The following is a 14,162-nucleotide window of genomic DNA, read 5'->3' as shown; positions in this document are numbered from 1 at the left end:
ACACGAGACATGGAAAAATTTGAAGAGTGAGCTCTGTTATTCTTAGTTACGAGAAAATCTTCAAACCTTGGTAATCAATTTAAGGAGCAAATTTTTACCAAATAAGAATCTCTACAAAAACAATGCTGCAGTATCTATTTATTACAATACATAATCAGGGATGTTACTGTTGAAGTCACACTATTTTTGTTACTTGAAATGCAAGACCTCTTCTGGTGAGACCTCTATAAATGATGAATGTGAACCCCTGATTCTTCACAATCCTTGGAGGAGATAGATGGTTAATTGAGATTAAATATAGTTGTTGCTGATATCACCACCAAAATGGAAATCATTATCATGATCAGAAACCGAATTTAGCAAATGTAGTAAAAGAAACGTTGAACTAGAAATCGGTGCGCCCCAGTAGGCCATTGGTTGTTTAGTAATCCTGAATAAATGAATCATTTTCTCATCTATGAAACAAGAGGCTTGGCCTTGCTCAGTGACTCCCCATTGCTGGTTGGAGTAACATTTTTAGGCTATGAAAAAGTTTTCAGGAGTGTGAGACCAAGTGAAATATGAAAACAAGAAGAAAAAGACAATATAGTGAATTTTTTATAAAGTTTATCTATGTCATTTTTACATTCTGAGATTGTTTATCCTACGTTGTTAACAATGCCCTTTCTCTTATTAAATAATGGTAAAATCTGACGTCCCTTGTTAGGGCAAAATACCTTTTCTCTCCTTGCCCTTCCTCTTTTTTTTTTTTCTTCATTCTACTTATGTGGAAAATCTAAAATTCTGGGAACCACCACTTTGTCTAACTTCTAAGGCCCCTTCCATCTCCAAAGTTCAATGTGTGTGTGTATCTGTGTGTGTTTGTGTGTGTCTGTATGTGTGTTATACAAAGTAATATAGTCGAGAATATGTGGGATTTCCCCACTGCATACATTGGACATGTCTGCCTATGTTTGATTAGATTAAGCCAGATGGACTCAGAAGGGAAAGGCATGGATCTGGAATCCGATGCTTCCTCTGAGGTGAGGCAGGAAAGAGAGGAAATCCATCTGCCACAAGATAGGCTCTCTGGAGGGCCTGACAGTGGTCAGGAAGCTTTGGTGTGGAGCCTCCACTGTGAGGTTATGGGGTGTCCCTATAAGCAGCAGGAACAGGCAATGCTTAGACGTTCACATGGACAAGCAGCAACAAGGAATATGTTTCAGGAGGAGATGGGGCTTTGGCCACTGAGGAGGACAATACAAGCAATGTCAGATGCCCCTCTTCTAGAGAGGACAGTACAGGTGGCTTACCAAAAGAGGCTGCAGTTCACAAGAACAGGTTAGATGTCTATCTGTCCATACAAGGTCATGAGGTGGACTCCACAACCAGGCTGAAGCCTAATGCCTAATAACTAACTGAGCAGAGGCTCCAGACCAGGGTCAGACTGCACAAGAGAGTGAGTGGTGCTCTATCTAGAGTGTTGAGTTAGACTATGATCCTCTGTATAAGGCATATTTGTTGGGAACTGTACAAGACTGAGCCTTCTGAAATGACTTAAGTAGTCCCGGATTAAAAGGGGCAGGTCATAGGTACAGTAGGAAGCCCAGGAATCGGGTAGAAGATTTGAGCAGGATGCTTTGTCTGATATCTCACAGTGCCATTTGTTCTTCCCTGGGCAGGAAAAGTAGCTCAGGCTTGTCAAACAGCCATTCTATTGAAAACATCCTTAAGTGACTTCGTATACAATTTCATTGTTCTGAGGTCCACTGGATCACCCTCTGTATCTGTATATACCTATGTGTATGTGTATGTGTATGGCTAAATTTACATTTTCTATGTATTCCTTTTAGTTTGGTCTTTCCCTCTGAAGTTTTTTTTTATTTCTTTTCTCAAGTTCATCAGACAATTCATTGCTTTCCTCTGCATAGATGCTGCGAACTCATAGATCTTGTAGCTGCAAACATTTAGAACCATATCAGACAGTGCTATAATTTTTGCTTCAGTGTAACTTAGAAAACTCAAGAAGAGTGTGGAAAGTCTATTTATTTAACCATATTTTTGCTTACCATGTTCTTTCTTTCTTCCTATGTCCCAAATTTTCTTCTTCTATCATTTCCTTTGTTTAGGAAACTTCCTTGAGCCATACTTTTAGTGCAAATCTGCTGGTGACAAATTGTCCTAGTTTTCCTTCTTCTGAGAATGCCTTGATTTCCCCTTTATTCCTGAACAATATTTTCAGTGGATATAAAATTGTAGGTTGACAGTACTTGAAACATGTTTTTCTACTTCCTTCTGCACTTTCTTTCAGCACTTGAAACATGTTTTTCTGCTTCCTTCTGGCCTACGTAGATTCTGATGGAAAATCTAAGGGCATTCAAATTATGTTTTTCCCTATAGGTAATGCATATTTTCCCTCTGGCTGGTTTCAAGAGTTTTTTTCTTTGTCTTAGTTTTCTGAAGTTTTTGATATGCCTTGGTGTGAATTTCTTTGGTTTTTATCATGTTTTGGATTTACTCAGCTTCTTCAATCTATAGGTTCAGGTCTTTTGACAAATTTGGAAATATTATAGCAATAATTTATTCAAATCCCTTTTTAGCTTCACCTTCTTTCTCCTCTCCTTCCAGAACCCAATGACATGAATATTCAATGTTTTGGAATAATCCAACAGGTCCTTGAGGCTGTTCATCTTTTTCAGTCTATGTTTTCCTCTGAACTTCAGATTTGGTCATTTCTATTTTTCTACCTTCCAGTTCACTGATTCTTCCCTCTGTCCCCTCCATTCCTCAAACCTATCCAGTGAGGTTTCTTCTGTCAGTTATTGTATTTTTCAGTTCCAAAATTTCTATTTGGTTCTTATTTGCATCTTGTATTTCCTTGTTGAAACTGTCTATTGCTTTGCTGAAACTTTCTATTTTTTCATTTCCTTGAAGCATGTTTATAATTACTCACTGAAGCATTTTAATGATAGTTCCTTCAAAATCTTAGTCAGATACTTCTGACATCGCTGTTATCTCAGTGTTGGCATCTGTCAGTTGTCAGTTTTCACTCATTTTGAGATCTTCCCAGTTCTTTATTTGATTTGTAATTTTTATTGAACCTGAATATTTGGGGTATTATGTTGTAAGACTCTGGATTTTATTTCAACCTTCAGATTGAGCTGTCTTCCTTTGACACCTCTCTGACAAGGGAAGTGGGGGCACCATCTTGTTAATGCCAGGTAGGATTCGAATTCCAGATATACTAGTGGGCCTCTGTTGATACCCAATGCGGTAATGGTGGAAGGCTCCTCGTTACTGCTGGGTAGAGGTGGCACTCCTGACTCCCCACTAGGTCTCCACTAACACTTTCCTAGCTGGGAGGAAAAAGAGTGCCTGGTTACTGCTCCCCTGTAGCCTGCCTGACACTACATGAGTCGGGGCTGCCTCATGTCCACTGGTTGGTGAGAAAACTCTTGACTCTCCATTAGGCCTCTCCTGACTCCACCCAGGGGGAAGACGGAGAGATGCCTCATTACTGCTGGGTGGAGGTAGAAGCCCAGCCTCCCCATGCATGTGGTCTCCACTGACATAGGAGGTAAGGGGAAAAACAGGATTTGTTGTCACTCAGAGGGGATAAATGTCCCAGCTCCCTATTTGGCCTTCTCTGATACCACCTCAATGGGAGGCAGGTCAGGTAGGGGGCAAACTGAATCGGCTCCTAACAGCCCAGAGAAGGTTAAAGTCTAGACTCTCCACTTGGCATTTGTTGGCATGGGTGGTGGGCCAGTTTTTTTTTTTTTTTTCCTGTGGTGTTTGGCTAGAGTAGAGCAATGGCTAAAAGTTTTCTGTTTTATCTGGCTGCCTCTTTCCTTGTCCTTTAACTAGAGAGAGCAGGCTTTCATTGGGCTTTTTATTTTTTTCTTTTTTTCATCCTTGTTGGCATTTTTGAGTTGCTGACTTTCCTATTTCCAAATCTGGGATATATAAAGCAGAGAGAAAAGCCAGAGATCTCACCACTGTGTCACTCCTTGAGTCCCAAAATTCCTAGTCATTCTGCCTTTATCTCACCACCTTTCAGAGTCTTCTTAGATTTGTTTTATTTATAATATCTGGGCTTTTTAGTTGTGTTTAGCAGTAGGAATAGGAAAAAGTATGTCTATTCTGTTTTCCCAGAAGTGAAAGTCAATTGCCTACATTTTACATAAAATAACTTAAAAGATTGGTTATTGTTCTTGCAGTTGTTCTTTTATTTGCTCACTCACTCATTCATGTAGTAGCACTGACAAAGTGCAAACCACTTGCCGCCTCTCGGTGCAGTAAGACTCAGCACTTCCAACGGTTAGTGCTGGGAGGAAAGGTTCTGGGGGAGAGGGAAGCCAGGCCTGGCCTCTTTCTCCCCAAGCACGACTTCTCCTTGACTTCTCCAATGTTCCAGCTAAGCCTGCTGCCGCATAGGCTCTTAGGTTTCCCTAGACTCAGCTGGAACCAAATAAGACTGTAATAAGCCAAGGGCAGTAAATATTAAACATTTATTTACAGTTACATAACTAAGCTTGTGAATCCACGAAAGAATTTTCCAGGGAAAAAAGTGCTGAGAAAAAAATTTTATAACCTGCCATTTTAGAAAACTATTTATTAGAAATAATCTCCAACTTATCAAAAAGTTGCAAGAATAAAAATAGTAAAATGAAAACCATATACCCCTTACCCAGATTCACCTCTTGCTAATACTTAACTCCATTTTCTTTATCATTTGAACTCTCCCACACATGTGCCTGATCTCTCCTTTATATATATACACATGTGATATTTTAACATGCCATTTGCACTCTAATTCTATGAATTGACTCACTAATGTCCTTTATAGCATTTTTATCACTCTGGTACGGGATCCAGGCTGGGATCAAATATTGCATATATTTGAAGTGTCTCTTTAGTCTGGAACAGTTCCTAACTGATTTGTTTTTTAAACAATAAAATGGTAGTACTGTATCTGTCTCATATCATTAATGCTATTTATAGGTACTCTCAGCAGATTGTGAACTTCTTAGCATGAAAAAAGGTAGAATTCCAGTACTCTTTAGTAGAAAAAAAGGATATTTTAGCTGCATGTAATTAAATCAAAAAGGAAAGCCATAGCGAAACCATAAAAATTTGAAATACTTGAACCGAAATTAGAAAGTGGTTTATATAAATTAAAATGGAAAGTAGTGTTCTTTTATCACTTAAAAACATCTGAGAGTAATTAATGGAAGTGTATTTGTACAATTTACACAGTAATTAAATGCTCACAAAGTTTTAAAATGACAGGTTTTAAAACTTGGCTTAAAAATTGTTTTATTCTAACTTGAAGAGTCAAATGTTGCTAATTTGCTTGTTTTGATACATCATCTTTGGCTGTGCATCATAAAAGTTTAAGAAAGGAAAGCACAGTATTTTTATTTATTTTAAGTACTGTATTCTGTGCAGCTTGTCAATAAGAACATATCCAAAATTAGAGGTACGATTAGTTGGCAAATGAATGATTATGTTTATGTGCCAGGGATCACTCCACTCCCTCGGACTGCAGTGGTGTTTCTCAAACATACTTTGAAAATATATTTTAAATGCATCTTCACAGTATGGGGCAAAACTAAACACTTGGCAACCAGAGCTTGTCTTTTGGTTCTTGCATGTTAGTGGTTCATTTGTGCTGTGTATGGAAGGCTCTGGTCAGCATCCTAGCATTTTCTTTATAACCAGGACCAGCTGAACTCTGATTTCATCTCCCAGAAAAACACGTTGTTTCTTATTGACTTGAATTTCTATTTTCTAAAGAAAGCCTTACTTTGCCTTGCCCTTAAGGATGAAGAGAGAGTGCTTCTCCAAATACCTTGAACTGACGAGGTCTGGATTGAACTTGACATTGAAAGATCTTTTGCACTGGAGAAGCAACTTAATCTCTGATTTATTTTAGGATTTTAAGCAACGTGAAACTTGCCAAGATATTTTCAAATCTGAGTAAAAATTATTTTATATGACTTATGATTTCTTTAAACAATATCTCAATTCAGTGGTTATCTTAGCCCATTTTGTGTTGCTATAATAGAATACCACAGATAGGGTAATTTATAAAGAATTTATTTCTCAGTTCTGGTGGCTGGAAAGTCTAATATCTAGGTGCTGCCATCTGGTGAGGGCCTTCTTGCTGACAGAAGACAGAAGGTGGAAAGACAAGAGACCATGAGAGCACAAGATGGGAGTTGTACACACTTTTATAACACACCTACTCTTAATGATAATGAACCCACTCCCACAATAATGACATTAACCCATTCATGAGGGCTCTGCCCTCATAAGCCAATCACCTCTTAAAAGTCCCACCCCTCAACGCTGTTGCACTGTGGGTTAAGTTTCCTACACATAAACTTTGGGGACACATTCTAACCACAGCAGTGGTTTTGAAGAAATTATCTAGTTTTTATTTTATATCAGTGTTCTTAAGTTACAGCATATTATGGGACATGTTCTGGTGTCAGATTACCCTTATCAGATGCCATCACTAGTAGGCAAGTTACTGAGCTCCTGTATGTCTCAGTTTTCTCATCTGTAAGAGGATAATAACAGTAGAGATTTCATGGGATTTTAAAAGCAGTAAAATGTTCAATTAGATGATTCATATAAAGCCAGTATACTTCAGACCCGGGCATGAGGTTTTCATCCTGGGCTCTGGAATTCAGAGGGAACCATTTTTACCTTCCCATAGTAGTGTTCTTTCCTCCAAGGTGAGAAATCTAGGAAATGTGGAGAGGTGTCAAAAAACTGTTTGCCCCATCCTCCAGTTCATGTTCATGTTACTCCTTCTAGAACGAGTTCTGGGCACCTGAACTCTAGCTTCCTGCCCTAATGCCTTTACATCTGCTTCAGAGCCTTTGCAGGCTTCTTTTTTGCATCTGGCTTCCTGAGGGCTGATGTATTAGTCTGTTTCACACTGCTGTAAAGATATATCTGAGACTGCGTAATTTATAAAGAAAAGAGGTTTAATTGACTTACAGTTCCGCATGGCTGGGGATGCCTCAGGAAACTTACAATCATGGTGGTAGGGGAAGCAGGCACTTTCTTCACAAGGTGTCAGAAGAGAGACAGAGTGAGAGTGAAAGGGGAAGAGCCCCTTATAAAGCTGTTGGATCTCATGAGAACTCACTCACTATCACAAAAACAGCATGAGGGAACCGCCCCCATGATCCAATCACCTCACACGAGTCCCTCCACCAACACATGGGGATTACAATTGAGATTACAATTCCAGATGAGATCTGGGTGGGGACACAGAGCCAGACCATATCAGCTGACTACCCTGCCTGTGCGACCATCTCTCCTCCTGAAGGAGGAGCAGTTAGCAAGGGTGTTTGGATTTGTGGACTTGGATGTTGACCTGTACACACTTATGTCCCCTTGCAGAGTTGCACAGAGTGAGTGGGAAGAGAAAGAGGTGAACTGAGGTTGTCTTTTCCTGTGCTCCCACACTCCTATACAGAGCTTTCAGGAGGGTGAGAAGGCATAACTCCCAGACTCATGGCCTTTCAGGTTTTTATGAAGGAATATTTGTCAAATAGGAAAACAGAACGTAGTTTATAACTGTTTATCTTGATGAATAATTTTGAAGTAGACCAAAATAGGTCATGTGACCTCCATTTCTACTCTTGCCCCAGACCCTACAAATGCTGGGGTGACAGTAATTAAACCAGCGAGTAAGTGACACATAGTAAGAACTCAGTGAACACTCACCACCATCATCATCATTATTGTCCTCATCATCTTCTGCTCTATGTCACATGTAGCCATTTCTCTAAAGTGGGTGGAAAAGCAGCTCCTTCCATGTATTGTCAGATACCAGCTCTATTTCTTAATGACTGTTGAGATTTTATGAAAGGAGTCTTTAGGAATGCAGTGGGAGAAGCAGTGTGATAGGGGTTCAGCTGGGCCTATCACCTAAGATGACTCTCCCAGCCCTTTGCCATGGGTTGTGTCTGGTCTCTATCACACTGTAGGTCTCCATTCAGTTCTCAAAGACTCTAATGGCCTCATTCCCTCAGGTTATCCAGTACCGAGTTCACTCAGTAAACATAGATATGCTGACATTCAGTACTTCAACCTTTTTAAGGCTCTGCTTAAGATTTTCTTTCATATTTTACATGTTGCTGCCTTTAAAAGAAAGTTTACGATAGTTCTGTCTCATGGTAGACTCTTGTCTCAATAAAGGTACCCACAGTCTAACAGCAGCCATGCCTTGGGGACTGAATTGTTGGCAAGCCACATTTTATGTCAAGGATTAATGATTGCTATTCAAATCTTCCATAGATGATGCCAATAATCCAAAGATATCTCATCAATGTTGCACCTAGTATGGTTCTGTTCTTTGTGATGGAAATATGTAGTAAGTCCAAAGTTGATTGTAGAAACCCAACCATTACATATAATGTGATTAAAGAGAATGTGTAACCCAAAAGGCTGCTTATGAGCAAATGAAAGAATTTTGTATAATGTGAAGAGCAAGGTTATCAATATTTTTAGAAACTAAACCTATCTTTTTCTTTTATTCCAAGTCCTGAGACTTTAAGTAAACTTACTCTCTCAAGCCCTCTTATTTTATTCAGGAAGAGTAATGTGAGGATTAATCCACACAGGCTGTGAAGTATAATCTAGTGCATTGGTTTATGTAGGGACTGGAGTGGGATAACCTGACCTGAATTTCCTTTCTAGCTTAGCCACCTGTGCCTCCATTTCTCATACGTAAGTTGGGGTCATAGTAGTGTCTACCTCATAGAAACATAAAATGAAATCATATTTGGAACTGCTATATGATAAAAAAAGAATAGAAGCTATTAATACTACTTCTATGAAGTAACCACTAAGATACAAAAACAGGTGAGGCAGTGTTCCTGCCCTGTGGGAGATGGAAATTTGGGGCACAGACCTCTGAGTCCGTTTCAGGTAATGAGATAGCAGGTGATACAAATGAAGCAAGGTCAGGGTTTGTGAAAGAGCAGGCAAGTCCAACCAAGTCTTCAAGGTTATTTGTGAGCATGAATTAAAATTTGAAGGATGAGTATACCTCAAATTAGACATGATGAACAAAACCCAATAGCTTGCAGTACTATATGTCAGTGATTCCACCCACTTGCATGTTGAGGAGCTACCTGCCAATTTTTTCATGAGCCACTTCAAAAAAGTAGCAGAAGTGTCAACCGTTTGGGTGAAGATGATATTTTGGGTGAAGCCCTACTTCAGTTTCTCTTCTGTTTCAAACTATAAACCCACTCAACCATTCCTGGGACATAAGGCTCCACCAAGGCCTCTCTAATTATGTGAAGTGGTTTTGTTTGGCAATACTAGATGCAATCTTACTGAATACCTTAGCATAAGCCTTTGTGTTGGAGAAAATCCAAGTTTGGGTAAAGTTTCAGCCTTTTCAAATGAGCTTCTTTGAACACACACAAAAAAATCCCACTGTCTGATGCATTTTCAGGAGAGACAGCCACAAGGCCCCCCTTCAACTTTGTGAGTGATGCGCTTCCACTGGCAAGAACTACAAGGACCACAAGAACAGAGTACTTGGCTTTCATCAAGCTGGCTATTGCTAATTATAGATACCATTTATGGGGGCAATTACTGTGTGTGAGCATTGTACTTGATGATTTCTACATATTGTAAATTTAACCTATGAAATCCCATGAAGAATAAGGCAACTAACTTGTTCAAATTAACAAAGCTAGTAAAAAGAGGAGCCAAGGTTTAATCCATATGTTATTTAAAGGTAAAAGATGTTAAACTTCATTACTTATTTTGCTTGGGAAAGGAGGACATTTTCCAACCTAACCTATGCCCAATGTAAGTAAAAGTATATATTTATAATCATAGCTGAAAGGAGCTTTATTTTTTATTAGCAAGAAGCTAGTTTTGTTATCTCCTAGCATCAGTGATGACTGCTGTATCCAGCCAGTTACAGTCATAGTTTATATTCCCTTACGTTTGTTTGGAGTAAAATAAGATGACAGAATTTGAAAATGTTTTTTCTCCAATCTTCAAAATACCAGGTAAACAAAAATAAAACATTTTCATTTTTTCCTCTTTCTTATTAACTATCCTTCCCTCTTGCCTGCCCTTTTCACTTTGCCCCCTCAAATCCAACCAACAGCAATTCCAAACTCTTTCCTCCCATGTAGTTCTCAAAATTATCTACTTTTATATTTCCCACTGTGACTATCTCAGTCTGCGCCAGGGAACAGACTTAGAATCAAACTCCCTGGGTTGGAATTGCAGTTCTACCACTTACCAGCGTGTGACTTCAATCAAATAATTCAGCCTCTCTGTGCTCCATTTTTAATCTGCAATTTGGAAATGATAGTACATAGTTCACAGAGTTATAAAGATAACAGAATGTATAAAAGTACTTAGAATAGGGCAGGGCATGACACATATAAACTGCCATCGTTCTTACCTTATTGTAAAAGGTCTAAGAAACATGGTCTCATTAAATTAACTAATTTGGTAGTTAATTTTACATGTCAACTTGACTAAGCTAAGGGATGTCCAGATAGCTGGCAAAACATTTTTTCTGGGTGTATCTGTGGTGTTTCCAGAAGATATTAGCATTTGAACTTGTGGACTGAGTAAAGCAGATGGCCCTCTACAATGTACATGGGCATTATCCAGTCATTCAAGGGCCTGAATATAAGAAAAAGGCAGAGGAAGGGCAAATTTTCTCTTTCTTCTTGAGCTGGGACATCATCTTCTCCTGCCCTTGGTCGTTGGAGCTCCTGGTTCTTGGACCTTTGGACTCCAAGATTTACACAAGCACATCCCACCTCCACCACCAACCCCAGTTCTCCCTTCAGACCTGGACTGAATTATACCACCAGCTTTCTCCATTTGTAGATGGCAGATCATGGGACTTCTTGGCCTCCTAATCACATGAGCCAATAATCGTATACATATGATTATTTTCATATATATTATATATATACCTATATAGGGAGACAGAGAGAATATATATACTTTATGTTTAAAATTTGTTTCTAGTATTTTCTTCTTGATTTCTGTTATTCCATTCCTTCTCATGCTGCCTCCTCCCCATCACAACAGGCACCATGTATCCTATGACTATGGAGAATACCTCATTTTCTGCACTAACCTAGCCCTATGACTCCCCAAACCTGATGCAATGCTCCTCCTTGATTTTAGTGTTAATAGCAGTTTGTGTCCTGAATCTTCCCTGATGACCATCCTCTCCCTATTCCATAAAATAACACCTACCAGTTCTGATCCTTCCTTCCTCAGATCCTCAATAGCTGATAACAGTTAATACGAAATAATCATTCATTCATAAAGGAAATATTATTTGCTGAACTCACACGAAGTGCCAGGCGCTGTGCTAGGTGTCAGAGATAGGACAGTGAAGAAGACAGAGATCATGACCCCAAGGAACTTCCATTCCGCTGAGGGAAATCAGTGAACCAGTGATTTGGATATGGTGTGTAGGGACTCTAACTGGGGTAAGGATGGGAACCTATGGGAGCAAAGGGGACAGCCTCAAAGAGGTGAAACTAGAGATTGAAGACCATGAGAGATGGCAGGAGGGGCATTTTTGGAAGTGCAAATCCCAAGGCTTGATACCCAGGAAAAGGCAAACAGGGCCCTTCAAGCTGAAGCAGCTGCAAATGACCAAAAGACCTCCCTTGTGTTGCCTTCAAGAATGATGGCCTCAGCATGGAGGTGCAGACAGAGAAAGTTCTAACCTCCTATTTCTGTGTCCTTGCTGATGGAAAATTCCACAGGAAACAGGACAAAATGAAACACATGCTTCTGTGAGACTTGAGAAAGGTCTGGAGAAGGGGAGTTCCTCTACTCGAGGAAAGCTTCACATCCCCCTCCTGCCAGCAGCAACCTCTGGCAGCATTTGGGTGGCTGCACCTCCTGCACCTCATTAGAGAACATTATGCTCTTCCTGGTAATTAAGGGCAGGGGCTGTAACATTCATCAGATTGAGTTTCATATCCTGGCCTCTCACTTGCTGGATTGTGGCCTTGAATAAATCATCCAACCTCTTAGAGAAAAGCCTTCCTTTCCTTACCTGTGAGTCCAAGGACAATCCTACTTGCATTTATATGAGTGATTGGCACAGTGCTTGGCATGTCGGAAGTGATAACGAAAGGTGGCAATATTCGATTCTCCAAGTAAAGCTTATCAATAGTCCACTATCAGCACAATCTGTGCTGTGACTAGCAAAGTTTTGTCTAAACAAAGATGCAGAACTGGGCACTATATGATAGCACAATAGCATGACTATAGTCAATAATAACTTATTTGTGTATTTTAAAATAAAATAAGGTAATTAGATTGTTTGTAACTCGAAGGATAAATGCTTGCTGGGACAAATACCCCCATTCTCCATGATGTGCTTATTTTACATTGCATGCCTGTATCAAACATCTCATGTACTTCATAAATGTATACACCTACTATGTACCCACAACATTTTTAAGTCTAATATTAAAAAATTAAAATAAAGAAAATCAAGGAAGTAAACATGCAGAACCCTTTTTATATTTGCCAATTTGGAAATATGAGAATGATAAGTTCAAAACCATCTATTGCTGAATGGATGACAGATTTTAACGCAGTGAGGAATTTAGTGATACTGAAATATTCGTGTATTATTCAACTTAAGTGTTTTATGTACCTTTGAAAAGTAATCATCTCTGTGCCCTTTTCATGTATGTATCTCAGCTCACTGCATTCCTAGTCCACAGTGGAGATGAGCCAATTTGCAACTTTCTCTGTCTGGCACTGTTCTCCCAGGTCATTTCAGGACTGACTTGAAGGGATAGCAAAAGGGCTGTAGCAAGGGTTGTGCTTTTTCTTTAGGCCTCAGTGTGTGGCACCTCTGTCTTTCCCCATTCACAACTTCCCTAACTCAAACTGCATTGCCTCTTGGAATTTTGCAACACAACAATGCCCGGCACCTATACTTGCTGTGTTTCCTGAGAATTATGAACAACTTACAAACCTTTGTGGGAATATGCCTATATATGTGTATTCTTATATTTAGAACACTCATTTCAACATAATAGTGTCAACAGCAGTGTTAGGAAGAGGAGCTATAAAGACGAAGATATCATGTCTCTGCCCCTCCACTTCCAGAGTGCAAAGCTGAATAAGAATGATTTGCCTGTACTGACTAATCATGTATGGATGTAATTGGGAGTAGGAGCACTAGGCTGGTGACCAAGATGACCAATCTTCTCTGATAAGATGAGCAGAAAAGGGAAGTCACCATAGTTTTCATGGAAGAAATAACATTTGGGTTGGACTTTGAGAGGTGAGCAGGATTTCATCAGATGGAGATCGGGGAAGATCGTACTGTCTGCCATAGGAATGTTGAGGCTAATGTCTGCAGCAGCAATAAGAGGAGGAACAGTAGTTGGGCAATGATTCTGGGGAAGGTAATCAGTGGACAGGGGGCTGTGGAGAGGGAAAATCTAAGGAAGATTATTGAATTAGGGAACTGTATAAAATATGTGATGCTTGCCTTCTTGTATCTTGATACCCTCAATGAAAAGTGGTTGAAAACCTGTTATTTATTCACTTAGCAAAGCTTAGGGTATTTCCTGTATAGTGCTCTGGAGTGTTTCTATACCAGTAAAAGATGATAGGCTTCTTAGTCCACCCATGATAATTCCCCACTATGTAAGATGTAAATGAGGGAGCTGACATGGCTCTGTTGCTGTCCTTGTTGATAGGTTAGTTCCACCTTCCTAATTCAGTCAGGGAGAAATCAGTACAATTCCCATAACTTCCTGAGTCTTTCAAGACAGAGAATTCTGATTTAGCTATTTCAATGCTTTGCCTCCTACACCCATTCATTCCTACCTCCATTTTCCTTAATTTCCAATTACCACAGCAATATGGAATACAAGGAGAAAAGCAAGATTTTAATGAGGGGAAGAGCTATTAATGAGTTCAGTATTCCCTTGTTAGTGCACAGTCCCTGCAGAATGTCGGAGCTTGGGCTAATAGACAACCATGGGAACTAATTTAGAGCTAGAGAACCTTGAACAGCTGAACCCAGCTGTAACCCATGACTGAGTGAGAAAGGAGGATGGGTGAATTTGTTGAGGATGTTCACAAGTGACACCTTCATCTCTATGACATGATAAGCA

General features: G+C 39.6%; 1 long non-coding RNA gene across 4 annotated transcripts in view; it reads left to right on the top strand.

Moving 5' to 3' along the window:
• Nucleotides 1–14,162, top strand: part of LOC105369715 (uncharacterized) — a 182,759-nt gene that overhangs the window by 41,486 nt on the left and 127,111 nt on the right. The window contains exon 4 of one of the 4 annotated variants that reach the window (XR_931476.1): nt 9,470–9,548. The exons of the other annotated variants lie outside the window; for them this stretch is intronic. This is a non-coding gene — a long non-coding RNA (uncharacterized LOC105369715). Of the gene's footprint in view, nt 1–9,469; nt 9,549–14,162 lie in introns of those variants that run through there. 4 annotated transcript variants of the gene reach the window in all.

The sequence above is a fragment of the Homo sapiens genome, chromosome 12 (genome assembly GCF_000001405.40).
Source record: "Homo sapiens chromosome 12, GRCh38.p14 Primary Assembly".
In the NCBI taxonomy this organism is placed as follows: Eukaryota; Metazoa; Chordata; class Mammalia; order Primates; family Hominidae; genus Homo; species Homo sapiens.
Note: the sequence above shows the minus strand (reverse complement) of the source record. Positions and strands in the feature narration are given on the sequence as shown.